The sequence below is a fragment of the Homo sapiens genome, chromosome 11 (genome assembly GCF_000001405.40).
Source record: "Homo sapiens chromosome 11, GRCh38.p14 Primary Assembly".
NCBI classification, from domain to species: Eukaryota; Metazoa; Chordata; class Mammalia; order Primates; family Hominidae; genus Homo; species Homo sapiens.
The window spans coordinates 67451071-67471178 of record NC_000011.10 but is presented as its reverse complement, the minus strand read 5'-3'; the positions used below and the strand labels follow the sequence as shown (position 1 = coordinate 67471178).

The window sequence follows — 20108 nt, the reverse complement described above, 5'->3', positions numbered from 1 at the left end:
ACTCCAGCCCGGGTGACGGTGCGAGACTCTGTCTCAAAAATAATAATAATAATAATAATAATAATAAGGCAGGGCACTGTGGCTCATGCCTGTAATCCCAGCCTCCTCGGGAGGCTGAGGCAGGAGAATCACTTGAACCCAGGAGGTGGAGGTTGCAGTGAGCTGAGATCGCACTCCAGCTTGGGCAACAGAGCGAGACCCTGTGTCGAAAAAAACAAAAACAAAAAAGAACTCTTGACTAAGGTCCATAAAGCTCTCAAGGCTCTGGGGCCCATCTACTCCTCCCAGGCTCATCAAGTCGGCCTGCCCCTTTCCTTGCTGCTCAGCCACACTGGTTTTCTCACATTCTTCCTCCACAGGCCAAGCTCCTTCCCACCTCCTGGCCTTTGAACGTGCTGTTCCCTGGTGCCAGGAAAACACTGAACCTTGCTTTTCTCACAGCTGGCTCCTTCATCATCGGCATTCCTGCTCAAATGTCACCTCTTGGAAAGGTCATCTTTGAGTACGAAATCTAAAGTCAGTTTTGCATCACACAGCACTTGAAACTGTCTCATTTTGCACTGTTTTATTCACCACTGTATCTATAGTGCCCAAAACAGTGTTTGGCCCTAAATAGATGCTTAATAAATACTTGTGGCAGAAATGAATGAGGGGTTTGCCAAAGTCCCAAGTACTTACAAGTGGTAGAATGGGGATTTGAAACCAGGTCCACCTAATTCATAGAGTACTTCTGCTCTTCCACCCCCACCGCCCCCCACCACGGTTCATTTTTTTTTTATGGAGTCTTGCTCTGTTGCCCAGGCTGGAGTGCAGTGGTGTGATCTCCACTCACTACAACCTCTGCCTCCAGGGTACAAGCGATTCTCCTGCCTCAGCCTCCCAAGTAGCTGGGATTACAGGCACTGGTCACCGTGCCCAGCTAATTTTTGTATTTTTAGTAGAGACTGGGTTTCACCATGTTGGCCAGGCTGGTCTCAAACTCCTGACCTCAAGTGATCCACTCTCCTTGGCCTCCCAAAGTGTGAGCCACCGTGCCCTGCCAAGAGTTCAGATTTTATTCTAAGTGCAATGGAAAACCAAGGGAAGGTTTTTTTGTTTGTTTTGTTTTGTTTTTTGAGACGGAGTCTTGCTCTGTCGCCCAGGCTGGAGTGCAGTGGCTCAATCTCGGCTCACTGCAACATCTGCCTCCCGGGTTCAAGCAATTCTTCTGCCTCAGCCTCCCAAGTAGCTGGGACTATAGGCATGCACTACCACGCCCGGCTAATTTTTGTATTTTTAGTAAAGACGGGGTTTCGCCTTTTGGCCAGGCTGGTCTTGAACTCCTGACCTCAAGTGATCCACCCGCCTCGGCCTCCCAAAGTGCTGGGATTACAGGAGTGAGCCACCGAGCCAGGCCAGCAGCAAAATTTTTAAAAAGGGTTTTCAGAATAACACACGCAGATAAAAAGATTTGTTTTAAAAGATCACTTCGGCTGCTGCGTGGAGACTGACTGGAAATTGGAAGACACATAAGCTCTCTGAGCCTCGGTTTCCACATTTGCAAAAATGGGGAGAGCACCCCTCCGGTGCGGGGCTGTTGTGAGTAAGGTGGGGAAACAGTTCCCAGGAGTCTCCTTGGCACTCGAGGAACAGGCTGCGGTGCAAAAGGCCCTGTCAGGGACCTGGAGGTTGGGGCGTGGAAGCCCCTCCAAGCCCCCGCACATACACGCCTGGGGGATGTGTCCGAGCCCGGCACGGGCTGTCGCTTGCCATGGCGGCCACTGAGTGGCGTCACGGGGCGGGCGCGCTCCGTCTGGAAGAGGCTCCCACCCATCAGCCCGCTCAGGGCTCGGCAACTCTGGCCTGCTTAGGGCGGACGGGGGCGGGACCGGCGCGTGGGGCGGAGCCAGGGTCGGAGGGGCGGGGCATGCGGGGGCGGGGCAGCGGCGACGCTGGGTGTGTGGGCGCAGATGGCGGCGGCGCACGGCGCCTGAGCGGGCCGGGGCCATGAGCGCCGCCCGGCCCCAGTTCAGCATTGATGATGCCTTCGAGCTGTCCCTGGAGGACGGGGGCCCTGGGCCCGAGTCCAGCGGGGTCGCGCGCTTTGGGCCGCTGCACTTCGAGCGTCGGGCCCGGTTCGAGGTGGCTGACGAGGACAAGCAGTCCCGGCTGCGCTACCAGGTGAACCGCCCGGCCCACCTAACCCCCTGCCCCCGGCCGGACGGGACCCCAGGCCGGGCCCCAAAGGCCTCAACTCGGGGAAGCATCTGCCTAGAGGCCCCAGCTGAAGCGCGAGACCGCCCCCCCGCCCCGCGGACGTGACTCTTGATCCAGAGCCCTGCCCAGGCCCTCCCGGTTCCCATACCGGGCCCCAGCCAGCCGGGAAGAGCCCAGTGCCCGGGCCCGGGAGCTCATCCCTCAGCTCCAGCTGGGGAACCCAACCGGATTCCCCACTCATCCTGGCTACTCGCACCTGGCCCCCGCTGGGTTGGGGGAGCTCCTCTGTATCTGAACCAGACCTTGCCCCACACGCAGGAGCATCCCCTGTGCCCCAGGCCAGCTAAGCTGATGGGAACCCGCACGCCTTTCTCTATTCTGAAAGCCCTCTCCCTAATCCCACCACCACCCCTAAGAGCTGGAGCTCCTCTCACATGACCAGTCCTTGCCCACCCTTTGGCTCCCACTAAACCAGAAAAACCCATTTTCCCAGAAAACCTCCACCAACCCTAGGCTGCTTTTCTTGGAGACCTGGACCAGAACCCTGTGCCTTGAACCTGGGAACTCTGGGCCTGGCCTTTCCTGGCACCCCAATTCCCAAGCTCCCATTCTAGGCCACTGAATGAGAGCTCCACCCTAACCCAAAGTTGGGAGCTCTCCTTTCCCTGGGATCTATGCAGGCTCCTGCTCCCCAAAGCCCTGGCATCCACCCACCTCCTACCTGGTTTCTGTGAATCACCAAACCCGTTCTGCGGGGAGGGCAGAGGGCCAGGTGAACAGCTGCCAGGCGGCCAGGCAAATGGTTGTGTAGGCCTGCTTTTCTCTTCCCGGGAGGGAGTGAGGAAGGGCCCCAGCCCAGCAACCCCCCTGAGACCTGTGTTCTGCAACAGAACCTGGAGAACGATGAGGATGGAGCCCAGGCCTCTCCGGAGCCGGATGGGGGAGTCGGCACCAGGTTAGGGCCAGGTGGGGACCCAACCCTGTACCCCAGCCCCAGCTCCTATCCCCAGGGACCCTGCTCAGTCACCCACCCCACTTCACTCACTCTCTTCCATCCCGTCCTATTGATTCCTAGCCTGACCCTCACTTTCCTCACAGGGTCTCCTACACTGTAGGGTCACCCTACCCTAGTGCCCAGCTGTACTCACCTCTTTCAGAAACCCCCAGTCTGGTCTGGCCCCCACCTTCATACAGGTCACCTGTCCTACAGAATCCCCTAGCTCATCCCCAGCCCCTGAATTCATGCTCACCCACCGAGGCCTCTCAGGGCCCACTATCCTGCAAGGGGCCAGCCCCAGTCCCTGCACCATGCCCTGCACTTCATCAGGACTCCTGTCCCAAAGCAACCCCGTCCTTGCCTCCCTGCCCCTCACTGGGCGCCTGTCCTGGCAGGGATTCCAGCCGAACTTCCATCCGCAGCTCCCAGTGGTCCTTCAGCACCATCAGCAGCAGCACCCAGCGCTCCTACAACACCTGCTGCAGGTGAGCCTGCCCGCCTAAGCCCCCAGCCGAGCAGCCCTGGCTCCACCCCCACAGCCTCCTGCACCCCCTCCCTCCACCTCCTTCACATTCACCCTGCTCTCCTGCCACCCAGCTGGACCCAACACCCTTTGATCCAGAAGAACCGCCGAGTGGTGCTGGCCTCCTTCCTGCTCCTGCTGCTGGGGCTGGGTGAGTGGCCCTGAGGGTTGGGGTCAAGAGGGGCCCCGTGGGAGGCTCTGCCCTCCTTTTGTACAGGCTCTGCCTCCCCCTTGACACTGAGCCTCCCAGCATCCTGAGGAGGCAGCTGGCTGCCATCATCACACTCCCATTTTACAGGTGAGGAGACAGAGGCCTTGTGACCTGGGCACACAGCCAGGAAATCACACATAGCTGAAAATGGAACCTGGCTTATCACTGCAAAGACTTTTCCTTTTTTAAAAAATTTAACCTGTTTAAATCCATTAGAGGACAGAAGAGTAGCAGCTACCATTTATTCTGTGTCTACTCTGGGCAAGGTGCAGGGCAGTTTTATTTTCCCATCTTACAGAAGTCCTACAAGTGAGGTGGTGCCCAGAAGCCACGTGTAGGGGCTCAGGGATGCCGAGTGCCCAGCCAGTGCAGAGCCGCAGGGCACCTGGCACTTCCCCTTGTCTGGCATCTAAGCACTGACAAGCACCCCTCTCCTACCCATTGCTCAGATGGGGGAACTTTTGGTCCAGAGCAGGCAGATCTCACACCAGGTGTTCTTTGGCTCCCAGGCACCTCGTTCTTTGGGGTAGAGGAGGCAGAGTCCCCAGAAAGGATCCAGGGTTGGGGTCACGAGTGATCCATAAGAAGGGACTAACTGTGGCTGCTACCCTGGCTCATCTCTCCGCTTCTCCAGGAAGGCCAAGGCTCCCCAGCCAGCCAGGCCCCTGGCACAGAGTCTGGCCTCTGCTCAGGGTGTTTGAGTGTGGGGGAGGGGGCTGCCACTTCCCAGCACCGCTGTACACTGGCCCTGGTAGTGCTGCCAAGTTCTTTCATTTTTCCCCTCAACCCAGCAAGGCAAGCCTGGGGCTACCAGAGCGCCTTAGAGGGCCTTTGTAGGGTGCAGGGAGTGAGTTTCAGCCCCCATCATACCCTATACCCCTTTATTTTTATTTATTTATTTTTTGAGGAGGAGTCTTGCTCTGTCGCCCAGGCAGGAGTGTAGTGGCGCAATCTCGGCTCACTGCAACCTCTGCCTCCTGGGTTCAAGGGATTTTCATGCCTTAGCCTCCAGAGTAGCTGGGATTACAGGCGCGCGCCACCACACCTGGCTAATTTTTTGTATTTTTTTAGTAGAGATGGGGTTTCACCATGTTGGCCTCAGGTGATCCACCCACCTCAGCTTCCCAAAGTGTTGGGATTACAGGCGTGAGCCACCACGCCCAGCCCTTTTTATTTTTTAGAGACAGGGTCTTGTTCTGTTGCCCAAGCTGGAGAGCTGTGGTATGATCACTGCAGCCTCAAACTCTTGGACTCAAGCCATCCTCCCAGCTGAGCCTCCCTAGTAGCTGGGACTACAGGCATGTACCACCATGCTCAGCTAATTTTTTTTTTTTTAAAATAATAATAGAGACAAGGTCTCACTATGTTGCCCAGGCTGGTCTTGAACTCCTGAACTCAAGTGATCCTCCTGCCTCAGCCTCCCAAAGTGCTAGGATTACAGCCATGAGTCACCACGCCTGGGCTGGGCTAATTTTTTTTTAACCTTTTATAGAGATGGGGATCTTGGTATGTTGCCCAGGCTGGCTTCAAACTCCTGGCCTCAAGCGATCTTCCTGCCTTGGCTCCCTGAAGCACTGGGATTACAGGCATGAGCCACCACACCTGGCCCACCCTTTTTGAAGTAGTCTGGGCAATGCACAAAGCAGTCCATGGTGGCCCCCCAGTCCCCCAGGCTTACTACCCCCCTTGTTGCAGAGCCCAAAGTCCAGCTCCTCATTCCCCCATCACTCTTCTAACTGGGGACCCAGGACTCCTGCACTGCCCTGTTCTTACCCCCTATATCCCAATCACCTGTACTGTTAGCTTTCAGGTTCTTATTGGTTCCTCCACTAAGGACGGGCCATGAGGGCAGGGACCTTATCTGCCCTTCAGGGCGGAATTCCCAGTACCAGGCACGCAGTAGGTGTTCCATAAATGTTTGCTGAATGACTAAAAGCCCACCCCAAGGAACAAAGAAAAATCTCTCCTTTCACACACTTCCCAGGGCCTGCTCAGTGCCTTGCTCTGGAAACAGAGCTTGGTGAGCTTCCTGGGGAGGGTCTCTGCCTAGGGCACCTTCAGCTCAGGTGGTGGGTGAGCCGGGCTGGGGGTGGGAGCCCCCGCCCTCACCACTGCTCCTGCCCCCACCCCCGCGGCTCCGTCTGTGTGCAGTGCTGATCCTGGTCGGCGTGGGACTGGAGGCGACCCCCTCTCCAGGTGAGCGACCCTCCCGCCCCCACAGGCAGAGGACACCCCTGTCTTGTGTCCACGGGTCCACGGCAAGCCCTCCCACCTCCCGGCAGTACACGGCTCCTTTTCAGCTGGGAGTGAGGCTTGCCCGGGCAGTCAGCGGCAGCCCGGAAGGCCTCGAAGCCTCCGCCCCCTCGCCCTGACCGGGCTCTGGTCCCTCCCGCAGGTGTCTCCAGCGCCATCTTCTTCGTGCCGGGCTTCCTGTTGTTGGTGCCTGGAGGTGCGAGCGGGCACCGGGGCGGAAGGGGCGGGGGCTGTGGGGCGGCACTGGGGGCGGTGTTGCGGGGAGGGGCGGGGCTTCTGCGCTGACAGGCCCCGCCCCGCAGTCTATCACGTGATCTTCATCTACTGCGCGGTCAAGGGCCACCGGGGCTTCCAGTTCTTCTACCTGCCCTACTTCGAGAAGTGATCGCGGCGCAGCGTGGACCCCTTGCGCCCATGGGGGCGCCCCTCTTGCCCTGTTCCGTTCCCCTCATCTCAAGGGAAGAGGCCCTCCAGGACCCTCGAAACCCCAGCCCCTAGGGAGTTTGCTCAGGAAGTTCGGGGCATGCAGGCCTGGCCCTGGGAAAGCCGCCCGTCGCCTGCTCTGTGCCTTAACTTATTCTCGGGCCGTGCGGCTGCTAGGTTGCTGTTATTTTGTGCTAATAAAAGAGTAATTAATTCCACCAGAGGCAATTGCTCTCCTCCTGTCCTGCCACTGCTAGCCCAGCCCACCAGCCTGACCACAGCCCCCCTCCCAAGGACTGACCCTGACGCTGAAGGGCTTCGAGCACCACCGAACGCGTGGCAGCCCTGATGCTGAGGCTTGCCCAAGGGCACGGGGCATGTTAGGGGCAGAGCTGGGCGTAGGACTCCTGCCTTGCCAGCCAGGAGCCGGCCGGAACAGCCTGCCCCACCCCCAGCCCTTGGATGACTCAACCAGCCCGTCTCTGTCTGGTGGCCCTGGCCGAGGGCACGCAGAGATGACGCAGGCCTGGGACCTGGAGGCTGGTATCCTAGTTCCAGCCTGGCTCTGGGGCCCTGGGCTGCCACAGCCAGCCCTGAATGTGGGCCATGTCAAGGCAATGGCCCAGCCCCCTCCACCCACTGCCCTCCTTCCCAGTCCCAGAGGTTGGGAGAACCTGGGGGCAGAGGGCATAGGAAGCCGCGCCTGACAGACACCCTCAGTGGTCAAAGACTTAGAAATGCAGAACGTTAGAAACAAACCATCTCAGAATTTTGGAACATCAGCATTTCAGAATCTTACGAAACAAGAAACAGAATCTTTGAGAAACCTGAAATCTGAGATCATAGTAGCTACCAGTTATCAATTTGTTGAAAGACCCCAGGATGGCCGGGCACGGTGGCTCAAGCCTGTAATCCTAGCACTTTGAGAGGCCAAGGTGGGAGGATCGCTTGAGCCCAGGAGTTCGCGACCAACCTGGACAACATGGCGAGAACCCATCTCTATTTAAAAAAAAAAAAAGAAAAGAAAATATACTAGGCCCTGCGCTAAGCACTGAACACGGGTTATATCTTGTAATCTTCACTACCTCCGTCCCATTTTACAGATAAGGACTGACTCACCCAAGGACAGCCAGCAGGTGGTAGGTAGAATTAGGAACGTAGCCCAGGGCTCTTCCCATGACACTGTCGGGGAGGGAGAAGGAAACCGGCACTGAGCTGGTCTCCCCTACCGGCCAACCAAGAGGCTGGCTGAGTGAGCAAGGGTTGGGAGGCCCTGTTGGTGCACCTGCCCGTACTGTCTATCTCCCCCACCAAAACACGGGTCCCACAAACCACTGTCTGCAGCACCCAACACAGCGGGGCCTTCAGGATTCTGAGTTAGAGGAATGGACACCCAGACTCTTGCTCTCGCTCCCACCTTTCCAGGCCCCGCAGACTTCCCACCCTCATCCCCCATTCAAGGCACTTAGGGGGCACCCATTGGATGCAGGAACTCCTAAACCAGTGGTCCCCCAACTAGCTATGGTAAAGGACCAGTTTTCATTTCTAATCCATCACGGTCCAGTACTTTCATAAGAAGAACTAGCCGGGTGCCGTGCCTCATGCCTGTAATCCCAGCACTTTGAGAGGCCACGGTGGGAGGATCACTTGAGCCCAGGAGTTCGAGACCAACCTGGGAAACATGGGAAAACCCCATCTCTACAAAAAATACAAAAACTTAGCCAGGCATGGTGGGGCGCCTGTAGTCCCACCCACTTGCGAGGCTGGAGTGGGAGGATCACGGAGCCTGGGAGGCTGCAGTGGAGTCATGATTGCACCACTGCACTCCAGCCTGGAAGACAGACTGAGACCTATTTAAAAAATAAATAAATAAATAACATAAAAATTTTAAAAACTAGAAAAATGAAATAAAAAACATACAGAGGCTGGGCGTGGTGGCTCATGCCTGCAATCCCAGCACTTTGGGAGGCCGAGGCAGGTGAATCATGAGGTCAGGAGTTCGAGACCAGCCTGGCCAACAGGGTGAAATCCCATTTCTATTAAAAATACAAAAAAATTACCGGGCATGGTGGTGCGCACCTGTAATCCCAGCTACTCAGGAGGCTGAGGCAGGAGAATCGCTTGAACCCGGGAGGCAGAGGTTGCAGTGAGCCGAGATCACGCCACTACACTCCAGCCTGAGCGACAGAGCGAGACTCTGTCTCCAAAAAAAAAAAAAATACAGAATACAAGTCCACAGTTTATCAGATTAATTAGACATAAAATTACATTTCAATAAATATAATCAGAACAAACATAGGAAAAAGGAAAAATGACAAAAACCATTGAATATGAACAAACAGGCAATTAACACAGAATCGCAGCTAACAACTTTTTACTCCTTGTTTTTTTTTTTTTTGTTTTTTTTTTGAGACGAGTCTCACTGTCTCCCAGGCTGGAGTGCAGTGGCCCGATCTCGGCTCACTGCATCCTCTGCCTCCCGGTTTAAGCGATTCTCATGCCTCAGCCTTCTCAGTAGCTGCGACTACAGGCACATGCCACCATGCCCAGCTAATCTTTGTATTTTTAGTAGAGACAGGGTTTCACTATGTTGGCCAGGCTGGTCTCCAACCCCTGAGCCACCTCGCCCGACTTCATTCTACAGTCTTAACAGAAAGCAATTTCAGAAGTGGTGATTCCCATCATTAGAAGTCTGCGTTAGGAATCAGCAAGGTATAGTCCACAGAGTGGTTTTTATATTTTGTAATGGTTGGAGAAAAGTCAAAGAATAATAAGATTTTATGACATAAAATTATATAAAATTCAAATTTCCATGTCAATAAATGAAGTTTTACTGTTATTTATTAAAATTTCTGATATAGCCACACTCATTTGTTGACTTGACTTTGCACTACAAACTTCAACAGCAGAGTTGCGTGAGCAGCTGCAACAGAGACCAAAGCCTCAAAGCTGAAAATAATTATTCTCCAGCCCTTTACAGAAAGTTTCCCCACCCTTAGTCTACATGAACACTTTGACAGAACACCGTGAATCTGACTTTTCTCTCCAGTTATTTATAAGATTTGCTTTTTATATTCTGTGGTTTCAATGGGATATATCCAGATATATATTTATTTTTATTTACCCTACTCTGACTTCAGTTTGTTCCTTCAATCTGGGGAGTTGAAGTCTGTGGAAGTCTTTATGGAAAATTTTCAGCCATTATCTCTTTGGTTATTGCTTCTTGTTCATTCTCTATGTATGTCCTCCGTCTGAGACTCCCAAGGACTTATCTGTCTTTTTCTTTGAGACAGGGTCTCTTGCTCTGTCACCAAGGCTGGAGTGCAGTGGCACGATCACTGCAGCCTCCAACTCCTGGGCTCAAATGATCCTCTCACCTCAGCCTCCTGAATAGCTGGAACTACAAGCATGAGCCACTACACCCAGCTTATTTTTTTATTATTTTTTTTAAGAGGCAGGGTCTTGCTGTTAGGCTGGTCTCAAACTCCTGGCCTCAAGTGATCCTCCTGCCTTAGCCTCCCAAAATGCTGGGATTACAGGCATAAGCCACCACACCCAGTCTTCCAGTGACCTTTTTTTTTTTTTTTTTCCGAGACGGAGTCTCGCTCTGTAGCCCAGGCTGGAGTGCAGTGGTGCAATCTCGGCTCACTGCAAGCTCCGCCTCCTGGGTTCACGCCATTCTCTTGCCTCAGCCTCCCTAGTAGCTGGGACTACAGGCGCCCGCCACCACGCCCAGCTAATTTTTTTTTGTATTTTTAGTAGAGATGGGGTTTCACTGTGTTAGCCAGGATGGTCTCGATCTCCTGACCCTGTGACCCGCCCGTCTCAGCCTCCCAAAGTGCTGGGATTACAGGCGTGAGCCACCACACCCAGCCTTCCAGTGACTTTTAACTACCCTGTAATATTTTCCATCCTTTTGTCTCTCAGTGTTACATTATAAGTGATTTCTTAGATATAGCTTCCAGTTCATTAATCTTTAAATTGTGTTTAATCTGCTGTTTAGCTTATCCATTATTTTTTCATTCCAATGGCTGTGTGTGTGTGTGTGTGTGTGTGTGTATATATAAAATATACTTTATTTTTTTAACAGAAGCCATGGTTTGTTTTTTTCTTTTTGACGGATTCTCACTCTGTTACCCACGCTGGAGTGCAGTGGTGCGATCTCGACTCACTGCAACCTCTGCCTCCTGGGCTCAAGTGATCCTCCCACCTCAGCCTGTAGAATACCTGGGACCACAGATGCAAGCACCACCACGCCTGGCTAATTTTTGTATTTTTAGTAGAGACAGGGTTTCACCATGTTGCCCAGGCTGGTCTCGAATTCCTGAGCTCAAGCAACCCACCCACCTTGGCCTCCCAAAGTGCTGGGATTCCAGGCATGAGCCATGCGCCTGGCCTGTTGGGTTACTTTTTAAATCTTCCGGTTCTCTCTTCATACTATCCTGTTACTGCATGTTGATCTCTCTTCCCCTTTTAGCCGTCTTTTATTTGCATGTATCTTGTGGTCTCTTAGGCGGCTGTATTATGTACACTGAGATGCCAGTCCTCTTGTTTTTGTCTCTGTCTCGTCTCCTTCATGGTGGTTTCTTTACTTTTATAATCAGTATGGTTTTTTTGTTTTGTTTTTGAGACGGAGTCTCGATCTGTTGCTCAGGCTGGGGTGCAATGGTGTGATCTCAGCTCACTGCAGCTCCACCTCCCGGGCTCAAGCGATTCTCCTGCCTCAACCTCCGAGTAGCTGAGATTACAGGTGCATGCTACCTCGCCCAGTTAATTTTTGTATTTTTAGTAGAGATGGGGTTTCACCATGTTGGTCAGGCTGGCCTCAAACTCCTGACCTCAGGTAATTCACCCGCCTCAGCCTCCCAAAGTGCTGGGATTACAGGCGTGAGCCACCACTCCCAGCCCAATAATCTGTAATTTTTATCACAAGTTCCCCTTTGGGAGCGGCAGGGTTTTTTTCCAGTTTTTCACACCCTGGAGAGAGACTACACGCCTGCTTGAAGGGCAGGCCCTGGAGTTCCAGGCTCTTTAGGGCAGCTGTTTCCACTCTGGGCCCTGAACATCTGTATCCTTGCCACTTTCTATGACTGGTCAGTGCAGACAGATTAATATCTTAGCCTTTGGAGACCCTGGAATATATCCGGGGGGTTTGTTTCTTGCTCCCCAGACTCATATGGTTCTTCTGTCACTCATGGTTGTAGGAGTCCAGGCGGCCAAGCCTCCATCCAGATCTGAAACCCCCACAGCGTCAGCTCCCTCTTACAACCCCAGCTTTGATTTCTTTGTCTTTGATACATGGAGCCATCCCTTTCTTTCTTTCAAGCTCACTTTTTTTACACTTGGGTTTTTTGGTTTTTTGTTTGTTTTTTTGTCTTTTATTTTTCCTTTTTGTGGAGAATGGGGTCTCAGTATATTGCCCAGGCAGGTCTTGCACTCCTGGGCTCAAGCTATCCTCCCGCTTCTGCCCCCTGACAGCTGGGCTTACAGGTGTGAGCCACTGCACCCGGCTCAAGTTCATTAAAAAAAAAAAAAATTATAAACATAAGTAGTGGAAGGGGTCCAGCCATCCTCTCCATTCATCATGCCACTGGGGGGTCCCCACTGAATGCTGCCAGTGCCAGGGAACTCCCTACCTCCCAGAGGTCTGGAGAGACCCAAATCTTGCTCACACTGAGGAACGGTGGGCAGCTGAGAGCAGGTCTTCTCCAGGCAGCTTGAGTAGGAGGAGGTAAGGATGAGGGTGGGCAGGTAACATAACAAGCCAACATTGAGGCCAGGTGTTTTCAGGGATAGAAGTAGTCTGGGGGCTGCTGGGTCTCCATCTCCATCCTGGAGGCTCCTGGGGGAGGCCTGCAGCCTGGGTCTGGCTGGTGTCTGGGGCCGCAGGGGCAACAGATATTCCCTCCTGGAGCCTCAGTGGCGGGAGAGCATCATCACAAACTCTGCGGGAGAGAAGGGCAGGGCTTGGGTCAGTCCACGTCAGGGATCCCAGGAGGTGCTGGGCTCAGCCTAGGCCCTGGAAGCACGGGAGGGTTTTCCGGGAAGGAGACTCACCGTCAAAGTCTACGGTGCCATCCCCATTGAGGTCCACTTCTCGGAGCATCTCGTCCAGCTCAGGACCCGCCAGCGGCTCCCCGAGCAGAGCCGGTACCGCCTCCCGCAGCTCCGCCACCGTAATTCGTCCATCCCTGTCCCTGTCAAACTAAGGTCCCCGCAAAGCTCAGCCCCTCCCACCCAAAGCTGCCTCAGCCTCAGCCAGCTCCACTCTTTTATTTTTTATTTTATTTTATTTTATTTATTTTTATTTTATTTTTTGAGATGGAGTCTTGCTCTGTCACCAGGCTGGAGTGCAGTGACGCAATTTCGGCTCACTGCAACCTTCGCCTCCAGGGTTCAAGTGATTCTCCTGCCTCAGCCTCCTGAGTAGCTGAGATTACAGGTGCCCACCACAACCCTTGGCTAATTTTTGTATTTTTAATAGAGATGGGGTTTTGCCATGTTGGCCAGGCTGACCTCAAACTCCTGACCTCAGGTGATCTGCCCACCTTGGCCTCCCAAAGTGCTGGGATTGCAGGCGTGAGCCACCGCGCCTGGCCAGCCAGTTCCACTCTTACCGCTGCCTGTACCTAGATGCTCCCCTGCCCACCATCTCTGCCCATGCACACCTTCCACACCCTCCCACACCAAGGTGGTTTGCCTCCTGCTCCAGGAAGTCCCCCTGGACGGATCCTCTAGCTGGTAGTGATCTGAACCATCTCTGACCCATCCCTGGGCCCCAGTCCCACCGCCTGCAGGGCTCTAGGCCTTCCCAAGGCTGAGACCTGAGTGAGAGGCCAGCAAGGATGCCACCCAGCCCTGCCCCCCTCTGCCCACCTCACCACACTCCGCACCTCTCGGAAGGCGATGCGCAGCTCTCGCACCCCCAGCATGTGCGCCGTCTCCTCCCTCAGCTTTGGGCCTATCAGTTCTACAAACTCCTCAAAGTCCACACGGCCGCCCACTGCAGACCCAGGAAGAGTGTCACAATGGTGAGGGCATAAGGTCTGAAGCCCAAGGAGGGACATCCCACAGGCCAGGCACCCCCACCCCCAGGCTCTGCACCTAGGAAGAAACACCCGTGTCCACGCCTGCAGCAGATAGGAGGCTGGAACCCCCGTCCTTGGCTGCTGGGGTACCAGGGCTGCTTCTGCTCTTAGTGGAGAACCCAAGTGTGCAAGGAAGAGACCAGGCTTTGGAGCCAGATAGTGCCCGGTTCAAATCTTGGCCCTGCTGCTGATGTGCGTGGCATTGGCTGACTTACTGCCCTCCCTTCCTCATCCTAGGAGCAGGGTGAGGAGCCTACTCCATGGGGTTCAGGTTCATGGCCATGAAGTACTGGAGCCCAGTGGGCAGCAATAAATGCCACCTCCGAACACACCCATGTGGTCCGTGCCTCAGTTCTAAGATGCCATCAGTCACTCAAAGCACTCATGGTCACCCAACAGCTTTGGGGACAGAAAAGCATGACACCAAATGTCCAGCTCAATTGTAAATCACATCCCCATTTTGGGAATTTTAAGGAAAAAATGCAGGAGTCCTGGAATGAAGTGAATATGAGATTTGTCTGAGGACAAACCAGCGAAGGGGAACCACACAGTTCCTGCCATCAGACACTGAGTCGCAAGGCATAGGTGGGGTCCTCTCCCATCAGGGCGACCCCAATTCAGGCAGCTGCCACCAGGGCACAGGGCTGAGGCAGGGTCACAGAAAGAGAGAGAAAGAGAGAAGGTGCCAGGTGACTAGTATCAGCGGACAGCACTTTATCACTGAGTCAGGGGCTTCTGGGCCAGCGAGGCAGGAAGGGCTCGGGTGAAAGGAGCAAATGTGTATAGTGGCCATGGCAACAGACATCCCGAGCCAGGGTCCTCAACCTGAGCCCCAAGGGGCTCTCCTGGGTCTCCGGGCCGCCTTGCTGGCCTGCCTTCCCACACAGAGAGGCAGGAGCTTGAACCCGGTGCCCCTGCCTGGAAACCGCCACCCTCCCTCACTCCCACTAGCACCCCGATGGACTCCCAAGGGCCACCTCCTGCCAGCCCCTCGTGACCCCCTGAACTACGCAGGCTGCCCGGGCGGGCGGGCTCCCTGACTGACTGCGCATCTTGATGTGCTGCGAGACCTCCAGGAGCTCCATCTCGGTGGGCATGTAGCCCAGGGTCCGCATGCAGTCACCCAGCTCCCGGTGGCTGATGTAGCCGTCACGGTCAGTGTCAAACTCCTCGAAGGCGGCCTGAAGCTCTGTGGAGGAGGGAGGTCAAGCCCAGGTGGCCAGGCTCAGGGACAGCTCCCACCCCCTGCCAGCAGCAAGAGCCACTCACCGTCTAGCTCCTCGGGGCCCAGTTCGCGGTCCTGCAGGGGGAGAGTCCAGGATGTCCCCAGGGCCAGCCACGGCTCTGTCATCCTTCCTCCTTCATCCCCTGCTCATGTTGGCCTGGGCAGGGCCCAGCCCCATCAGAGTAGGAAAAGGACCCTGAAGCCTCGTGGGACCCAGGAGGAGCAAGCTCCCTTTTGTGCTCCTAGAGCCTGGAGCTCCCACAGAGCCCTGGTGTGAATTCTGGCTCTGCCCACCGCCCACGCTGGCCCGAGACCTACCCTTCCCCAAACCGCAGCAACCCTGCCCCACAGCCCAGGCTCAGTCTGGGGCAGAAGAGGCAGAGGGCCTCTCAGGGGCAGGGTGAGCTGAGCCCAAGGGGTGTGTCTCCAGCCCCACCCCCAGGACCCCCAGCCCAATCCAGGTCCCACCTAACCTTCCCGAAGACTCGATTGAGCAGGGGCCCGTATGTCCTCTGAGCAGCGTCGTGCAGGGAGTCAGGACGATGTCGGTGGGACTGGCGAGAAGAGGCCGGCCCAGGGGATGCAGGGGGTGCGCCCGCCGGCCCCTCTCCAGTGCTGGGAGGGTTATTGCTGCTCCCCGGGGCCTCGGGGCCTGTCTGCTCCCCAGAGCTGCCAGTGCGCTTTCGAGACCCTCGGAGCCCCCTCTCCTTCTTGCTCCTCTTCCTGGTCAACGGGGGCTCCTCTGCATCACTCTTGGGAGTCACAACCCCCGCAGGGGGCTTCTGACGGCCAATGGCCAGATTTGGGCCCTGCTGCCCCCTTGCCTGCTCTGTGGTCATGGGGGAGGGATAACAGGGCTCAGAGACACCACACCCCTGGGCACCCTTGGCTTTCAGGACCCATAAAGCTGCTTATGCACCCCCACTCTTAGAGCTGAGAGCCTAGGATCGGGCTCTGAGGGGGATTAGGGTAAGTGAGGCAGGCAGCCCTGGCCCTAATCCCAGTCCTCTGCCCCAGGGCTGGCCAGGGCAGAGCCAGATGGGTCCAGAGAACTGTCCTTGGTCAGAAGCAAGGGGCACCAGGACGTGGTGGCTGCCATGAGCCTCAGATGCCAGATCTGCTACTTATTAGCTGGGGGATCCAGCAAATTCCCCTCCCAGCCTCAGTTTCCCTATCTATAAAACATGGGGAATAATGCTAGAGCGCAGAAGACTCAGCTCATGTGTGACATGGGCAGAGGCCTTCGTTAGGCAGAGAGGACCAGGGAAGGCATCTCAGGTGGCAGGAGGCATGCGGACAACGGCTGGGAGGTGGGAAAGGATGAGCGAGTGGCCTACTGGGGCCCCCCCATGGGTGACATCCTGGCCAGAGCAGAGGGTGTGTGAAATGGAGGAAGAGGCCAGATCACAGATGCCTCGAATGCCGTTTTGAGGAGCACGGGGGGTGATGTGGGAGGAGGTGGACCTTGGGGTCTTAGAGTCTGCTCTGGGCTAGAGAGGCCCTGGGGAGGAGGGTCTGACTGTCCAGGCCCATCAGGGCTGGGGGAGGGGGTCTGGCTGGTCACTTGGCCCTACTGGGCCAGGGTTAGGGTTTCCCAGCAAGCAGCCCCATAAATAATTGATGTCCTCTCAGCTTGGGTTTCCTGCCCACCCGCCTTAGCGCTGCCGGGTGCCACAAAGCAGGCCCCAGTGAGGGCCGGGGGGACAGCTGGAGTGCTGGGCAGGCAGGCACGCCCTGCTCCTGCTCCTTCCACCCATCGGCCTCTGCCTCCCAGGTAAGCCAGGCCTCACTGGTCAGGGCCCCAGTCTCGGGGTGCCTGGGGCTCTGATCCAATAGGGAATGGAGACAGCAGAGGGGGTCAGCCTGAGGAGGAACCCTGAGGGTACGGAGGGCACCAAACTAAAGGCCAAGTGGCTGGAGCCGTGGGCCGTGGGCAGGGGCCAGCCCTTCAGGGCATCCGTTCCCTCCCCAGACTATACCACCACCTGGGCTCTCATCGCCCTCAAAGGGAAACTCCCTCCCCGCTGCCAGCGGGGAAGGGCGAGGTGGGGCTGCAGGCCTCTTGGATCCCAGGTCTGGGTGCCCTCCAACTCCCCTCACCCTCACCATCCCACCACCATCCCACTGCAGAGCCCCTCCCCCTCTCTTTAGCAGCTCCAGGAGACAAACAGGGGTCACCTCCTGCCTGAGCTGTGGGAAGCGGGAGAGGGCCGCGGTGGGGTGGAAGATGCTGGAGAGGCACCAGGGGCTCCTAGGATGGCCCTCCTGACCCCAGGCTGTGGGGTCCTGAGGCTCAGAGACCTCATCCTGAGCCCATGAGTGACACTCGCTGGAGGGGAGGGGGTTCCCACTGCCCCAGACTCCCTACCTTCGGGTCCCCTGGGCCCATGGGAACCAGAGCCCTCCCTTCTTGGAATCCTAAACACTCGAACCCCAGAGGAGCAGGCATAAAGGGGCCTTGTGATGAGCGGACCAAACGGTCTTCAAACTGTGTTCCCTGGAACCCTGGGGGGTAGGGGTACTCTTCCCTCCCTTAATTTGAGCACCCCCTTTTAGTCCATATAGGAGTTCCACTAGAATACTTTTTTTTTTTTTTTTTTTGAGACAGAGTTTTGCTCTTGTTACTCAGGCTGGAGTGCGATGGCACGATCTTGGCTCACCACAACCTCTGCCTCCCGGGTTCAAGCGATTCTCCTGAGTAGCTGGGATTACAGGCATGCGCCACCACGGCCAGCCAATTTTGTATTTTTAGTAGAGATGGGGTTTCTCCATGTTGGTCAGGCTGGTCTCGAACTCCCAACCTCAGGTGATCCTCCCAAAGTGCTGGGATTACAGGTGTGAGCCACCGTGCCCGGCCTTAGAATACTTTACTTACAGACAAAATTCCATACCTTTAACAATGTTTGAAAGCCTCCGGGTTAGTCTATCCGGACCCATTGGGATTCTACATGGCAGAAGATTAAGTCTGTCTGGACAGTGTCTCATGCCTGTAATCTCAACATTTCAGGAGGCCAAGGTAGGAGGATCACTTGAGCTCACGAGTTCAAGACCAGCCTGGGCAACACAGTGAGACCTTGTTTCTACTAAAAATTTAAAAAGTAGTGGGTGCACACCTGTAGTCCCAGCTACTAGGGAGGCTGAGATGGGAGGGTCGCTGGAACCCAGGAGGTGGAAGCTGCAGGGACTGTGCCACTGCACTCATCCTGGGCAATAGAGCAAGGCCCTGTCTCTCAAAAAAAAAAAAAGAAAAGAAAAGAAAAGTCTGGGTTGAGCCCTGGCACCTCCCTTCCTACCTTCACTGATTCTCTGAACCTTCCTGTCCTCGCCTGTAAAGTAGATTGTATGAGGACTCCATGAGGTCATCCACTTCAAGTCCTTGGCATAGGATAATTACTCAAAAGGTGATGACAATGGCGCAGGGAGGGATGGTGACTTGCCTGGAGATGCACAGCACCGTCTCTCCCATACTCGGTCATTCACACCATCATTGATTCACCAGGCACCCACTCCGTGTCCAGCAGGACTCTGGGGACCCCAAATGGACACTACCATGGAAGCTGACCTGGGTGCCACTGGCCACAGGCCCCGCACAGAGCTTGATGATGAGGACTCCTACCCCCAAGGTGGCTGGGACACGGTCTTCCTGGTGGCCCTGCTGCTCCTTGGGCTGCCAGCCAATGGGTTGATGGCGTGGCTGGCCGGCTCCCAGGCCCGGCATGGAGCTGGCACGCGTCTGGCGCTGCTCCTGCTCAGCCTGGCCCTCTCTGACTTCTTGTTCCTGGCAGCAGCGGCCTTCCAGATCCTAGAGATCCGGCATGGGGGACACTGGCCGCTGGGGACAGCTGCCTGCCGCTTCTACTACTTCCTATGGGGCGTGTCCTACTCCTCCGGCCTCTTCCTGCTGGCCGCCCTCAGCCTCGACCGCTGCCTGCTGGCGCTGTGCCCACACTGGTACCCTGGGCACCGCCCAGTCCGCCTGCCCCTCTGGGTCTGCGCCGGTGTCTGGGTGCTGGCCACACTCTTCAGCGTGCCCTGGCTGGTCTTCCCCGAGGCTGCCGTCTGGTGGTACGACCTGGTCATCTGCCTGGACTTCTGGGACAGCGAGGAGCTGTCGCTGAGGATGCTGGAGGTCCTGGGGGGCTTCCTGCCTTTCCTCCTGCTGCTCGTCTGCCACGTGCTCACCCAGGCCACAGCCTGTCGCACCTGCCACCGCCAACAGCAGCCCGCAGCCTGCCGGGGCTTCGCCCGTGTGGCCAGGACCATTCTGTCAGCCTATGTGGTCCTGAGGCTGCCCTACCAGCTGGCCCAGCTGCTCTACCTGGCCTTCCTGTGGGACGTCTACTCTGGCTACCTGCTCTGGGAGGCCCTGGTCTACTCCGACTACCTGATCCTACTCAACAGCTGCCTCAGCCCCTTCCTCTGCCTCATGGCCAGTGCCGACCTCCGGACCCTGCTGCGCTCCGTGCTCTCGTCCTTCGCGGCAGCTCTCTGCGAGGAGCGGCCGGGCAGCTTCACGCCCACTGAGCCACAGACCCAGCTAGATTCTGAGGGTCCAACTCTGCCAGAGCCGATGGCAGAGGCCCAGTCACAGATGGATCCTGTGGCCCAGCCTCAGGTGAACCCCACACTCCAGCCACGATCGGATCCCACAGCTCAGCCACAGCTGAACCCTACGGCCCAGCCACAGTCGGATCCCACAGCCCAGCCACAGCTGAACCTCATGGCCCAGCCACAGTCAGATTCTGTGGCCCAGCCACAGGCAGACACTAACGTCCAGACCCCTGCACCTGCTGCCAGTTCTGTGCCCAGTCCCTGTGATGAAGCTTCCCCAACCCCATCCTCGCATCCTACCCCAGGGGCCCTTGAGGACCCAGCCACACCTCCTGCCTCTGAAGGAGAAAGCCCCAGCAGCACCCCGCCAGAGGCGGCCCCGGGCGCAGGCCCCACGTGAGGGTCCAGGAACACGCAGGCCCACCAGAGCAGTGAAAGAGCCCAGGGCAGACAGAGGAACCAGCCAGTCAGACAGGTGGGGAGCCGCCGACAGCTTTGTCCTTAAAAACCCTGCTGAGTCCGTCAGGCCTGGAAGGAGGACTTGAGGGAGGGGAAACAATCCAGCCAGAAGTCTCAGGCAGTTCCATGTCAGCGACCCCTGCTCCCGGCCATCAGCCTTTTCTGTGGTTGCTCCCAACACA

At 56.4% G+C, this 20108-nt stretch overlaps 3 protein-coding genes across 20 annotated transcripts, besides 7 other annotated features; 2 read left to right on the top strand and 1 right to left on the bottom strand.

Moving 5' to 3' along the window:
- Positions 1524 to 1703: an enhancer, noted in NCBI's record as "active region_5104". NCBI's record gives its function as "activates an Ori minimal core promoter by ATAC-STARR-seq in GM12878 lymphoblastoid cells {active_cell/tissue: GM12878}" and the evidence as "EXISTENCE:reporter gene assay evidence [ECO:0000049][PMID:35858748]".
- Positions 1692 to 2316: an enhancer, noted in NCBI's record as "H3K27ac hESC enhancer chr11:67236334-67236958 (GRCh37/hg19 assembly coordinates)". NCBI's record gives its function as "activates a minimal SCP1, AML or CMV promoter by ChIP-STARR-seq in naive H9 embryonic stem cells {active_cell/tissue: H9 hESC(naive)}" and the evidence as "EXISTENCE:reporter gene assay evidence [ECO:0000049][PMID:30033119]".
- Positions 1692 to 2343: a biological region, named in NCBI's record as "H3K27ac hESC enhancer GRCh37_chr11:67236334-67236958".
- Positions 1854 to 1993: a silencer, noted in NCBI's record as "silent region_3638". NCBI's record gives its function as "represses an Ori minimal core promoter by ATAC-STARR-seq in GM12878 lymphoblastoid cells {active_cell/tissue: GM12878}" and the evidence as "EXISTENCE:reporter gene assay evidence [ECO:0000049][PMID:35858748]".
- TMEM134 (transmembrane protein 134) lies at positions 1928 to 9469 on the top strand. 12 transcript variants are annotated; one of them, NR_073409.2, is made up of 7 exons: positions 1928 to 2160; positions 3087 to 3151; positions 3589 to 3678; positions 3791 to 3867; positions 5912 to 6123; positions 6323 to 6376; positions 6483 to 9469. NR_073409.2 is itself a non-coding variant. In NM_001078651.3 (7 exons), exons 1-7 carry the CDS (start codon positions 1987 to 1989, stop codon positions 6563 to 6565), a joined length of 561 nt encoding a protein of 186 aa, NP_001072119.1. In that variant the 5' UTR covers positions 1928 to 1986; the 3' UTR covers positions 6566 to 9469. The 12 variants fall into 12 exon arrangements, 4 of the variants coding, with proteins under 4 accessions (NP_001072119.1, NP_079400.1, NP_001072118.1 ...); NR_073413.2 differs by having other exon boundaries at positions 3087 to 3162; positions 3616 to 3678; positions 6079 to 6123; NR_073411.2 differs by having other exon boundaries at positions 3087 to 3162; positions 6079 to 6123.
- Positions 2204 to 2343: a silencer, noted in NCBI's record as "silent region_3637". NCBI's record gives its function as "represses an Ori minimal core promoter by ATAC-STARR-seq in GM12878 lymphoblastoid cells {active_cell/tissue: GM12878}" and the evidence as "EXISTENCE:reporter gene assay evidence [ECO:0000049][PMID:35858748]".
- On the bottom strand, positions 9427 to 18776 carry CABP4 (calcium binding protein 4). Of its 7 annotated transcripts, NM_001379183.1 has the most exons (9): positions 18533 to 18776; positions 18354 to 18441; positions 18210 to 18242; positions 15390 to 15745; positions 14961 to 15073; positions 14737 to 14880; positions 13497 to 13606; positions 12661 to 12808; positions 9427 to 12548 (listed from the first exon to the last, which is right to left on the bottom strand). In NM_001379183.1, exons 5-9 carry the CDS (start codon positions 15040 to 15042, stop codon positions 12520 to 12522), a joined length of 513 nt encoding a protein of 170 aa, NP_001366112.1. In that variant the 5' UTR covers positions 15043 to 15073; positions 15390 to 15745; positions 18210 to 18242; positions 18354 to 18441; positions 18533 to 18776; the 3' UTR covers positions 9427 to 12519. The 7 variants fall into 7 exon arrangements, 6 of the variants coding, with proteins under 6 accessions (NP_001366112.1, XP_024304383.1, NP_001287825.1 ...); XM_024448615.2 differs by having other exon boundaries at positions 14961 to 14991; positions 15390 to 18441; NM_001300896.3 differs by lacking the exons at positions 18210 to 18242; positions 18354 to 18441 and having other exon boundaries at positions 15390 to 15470.
- Positions 10948 to 10997: an enhancer, noted in NCBI's record as "active region_5103". NCBI's record gives its function as "activates an Ori minimal core promoter by ATAC-STARR-seq in GM12878 lymphoblastoid cells {active_cell/tissue: GM12878}" and the evidence as "EXISTENCE:reporter gene assay evidence [ECO:0000049][PMID:35858748]".
- Positions 11208 to 11257: an enhancer, noted in NCBI's record as "active region_5102". NCBI's record gives its function as "activates an Ori minimal core promoter by ATAC-STARR-seq in GM12878 lymphoblastoid cells {active_cell/tissue: GM12878}" and the evidence as "EXISTENCE:reporter gene assay evidence [ECO:0000049][PMID:35858748]".
- Positions 18450 to 19878, top strand: GPR152 (G protein-coupled receptor 152). Its single transcript, NM_206997.1, has one exon. The coding sequence runs from the start codon at positions 18455 to 18457 to the stop codon at positions 19865 to 19867; it is 1413 nt and encodes a 470-aa protein (NP_996880.1). The 5' UTR covers positions 18450 to 18454; the 3' UTR covers positions 19868 to 19878.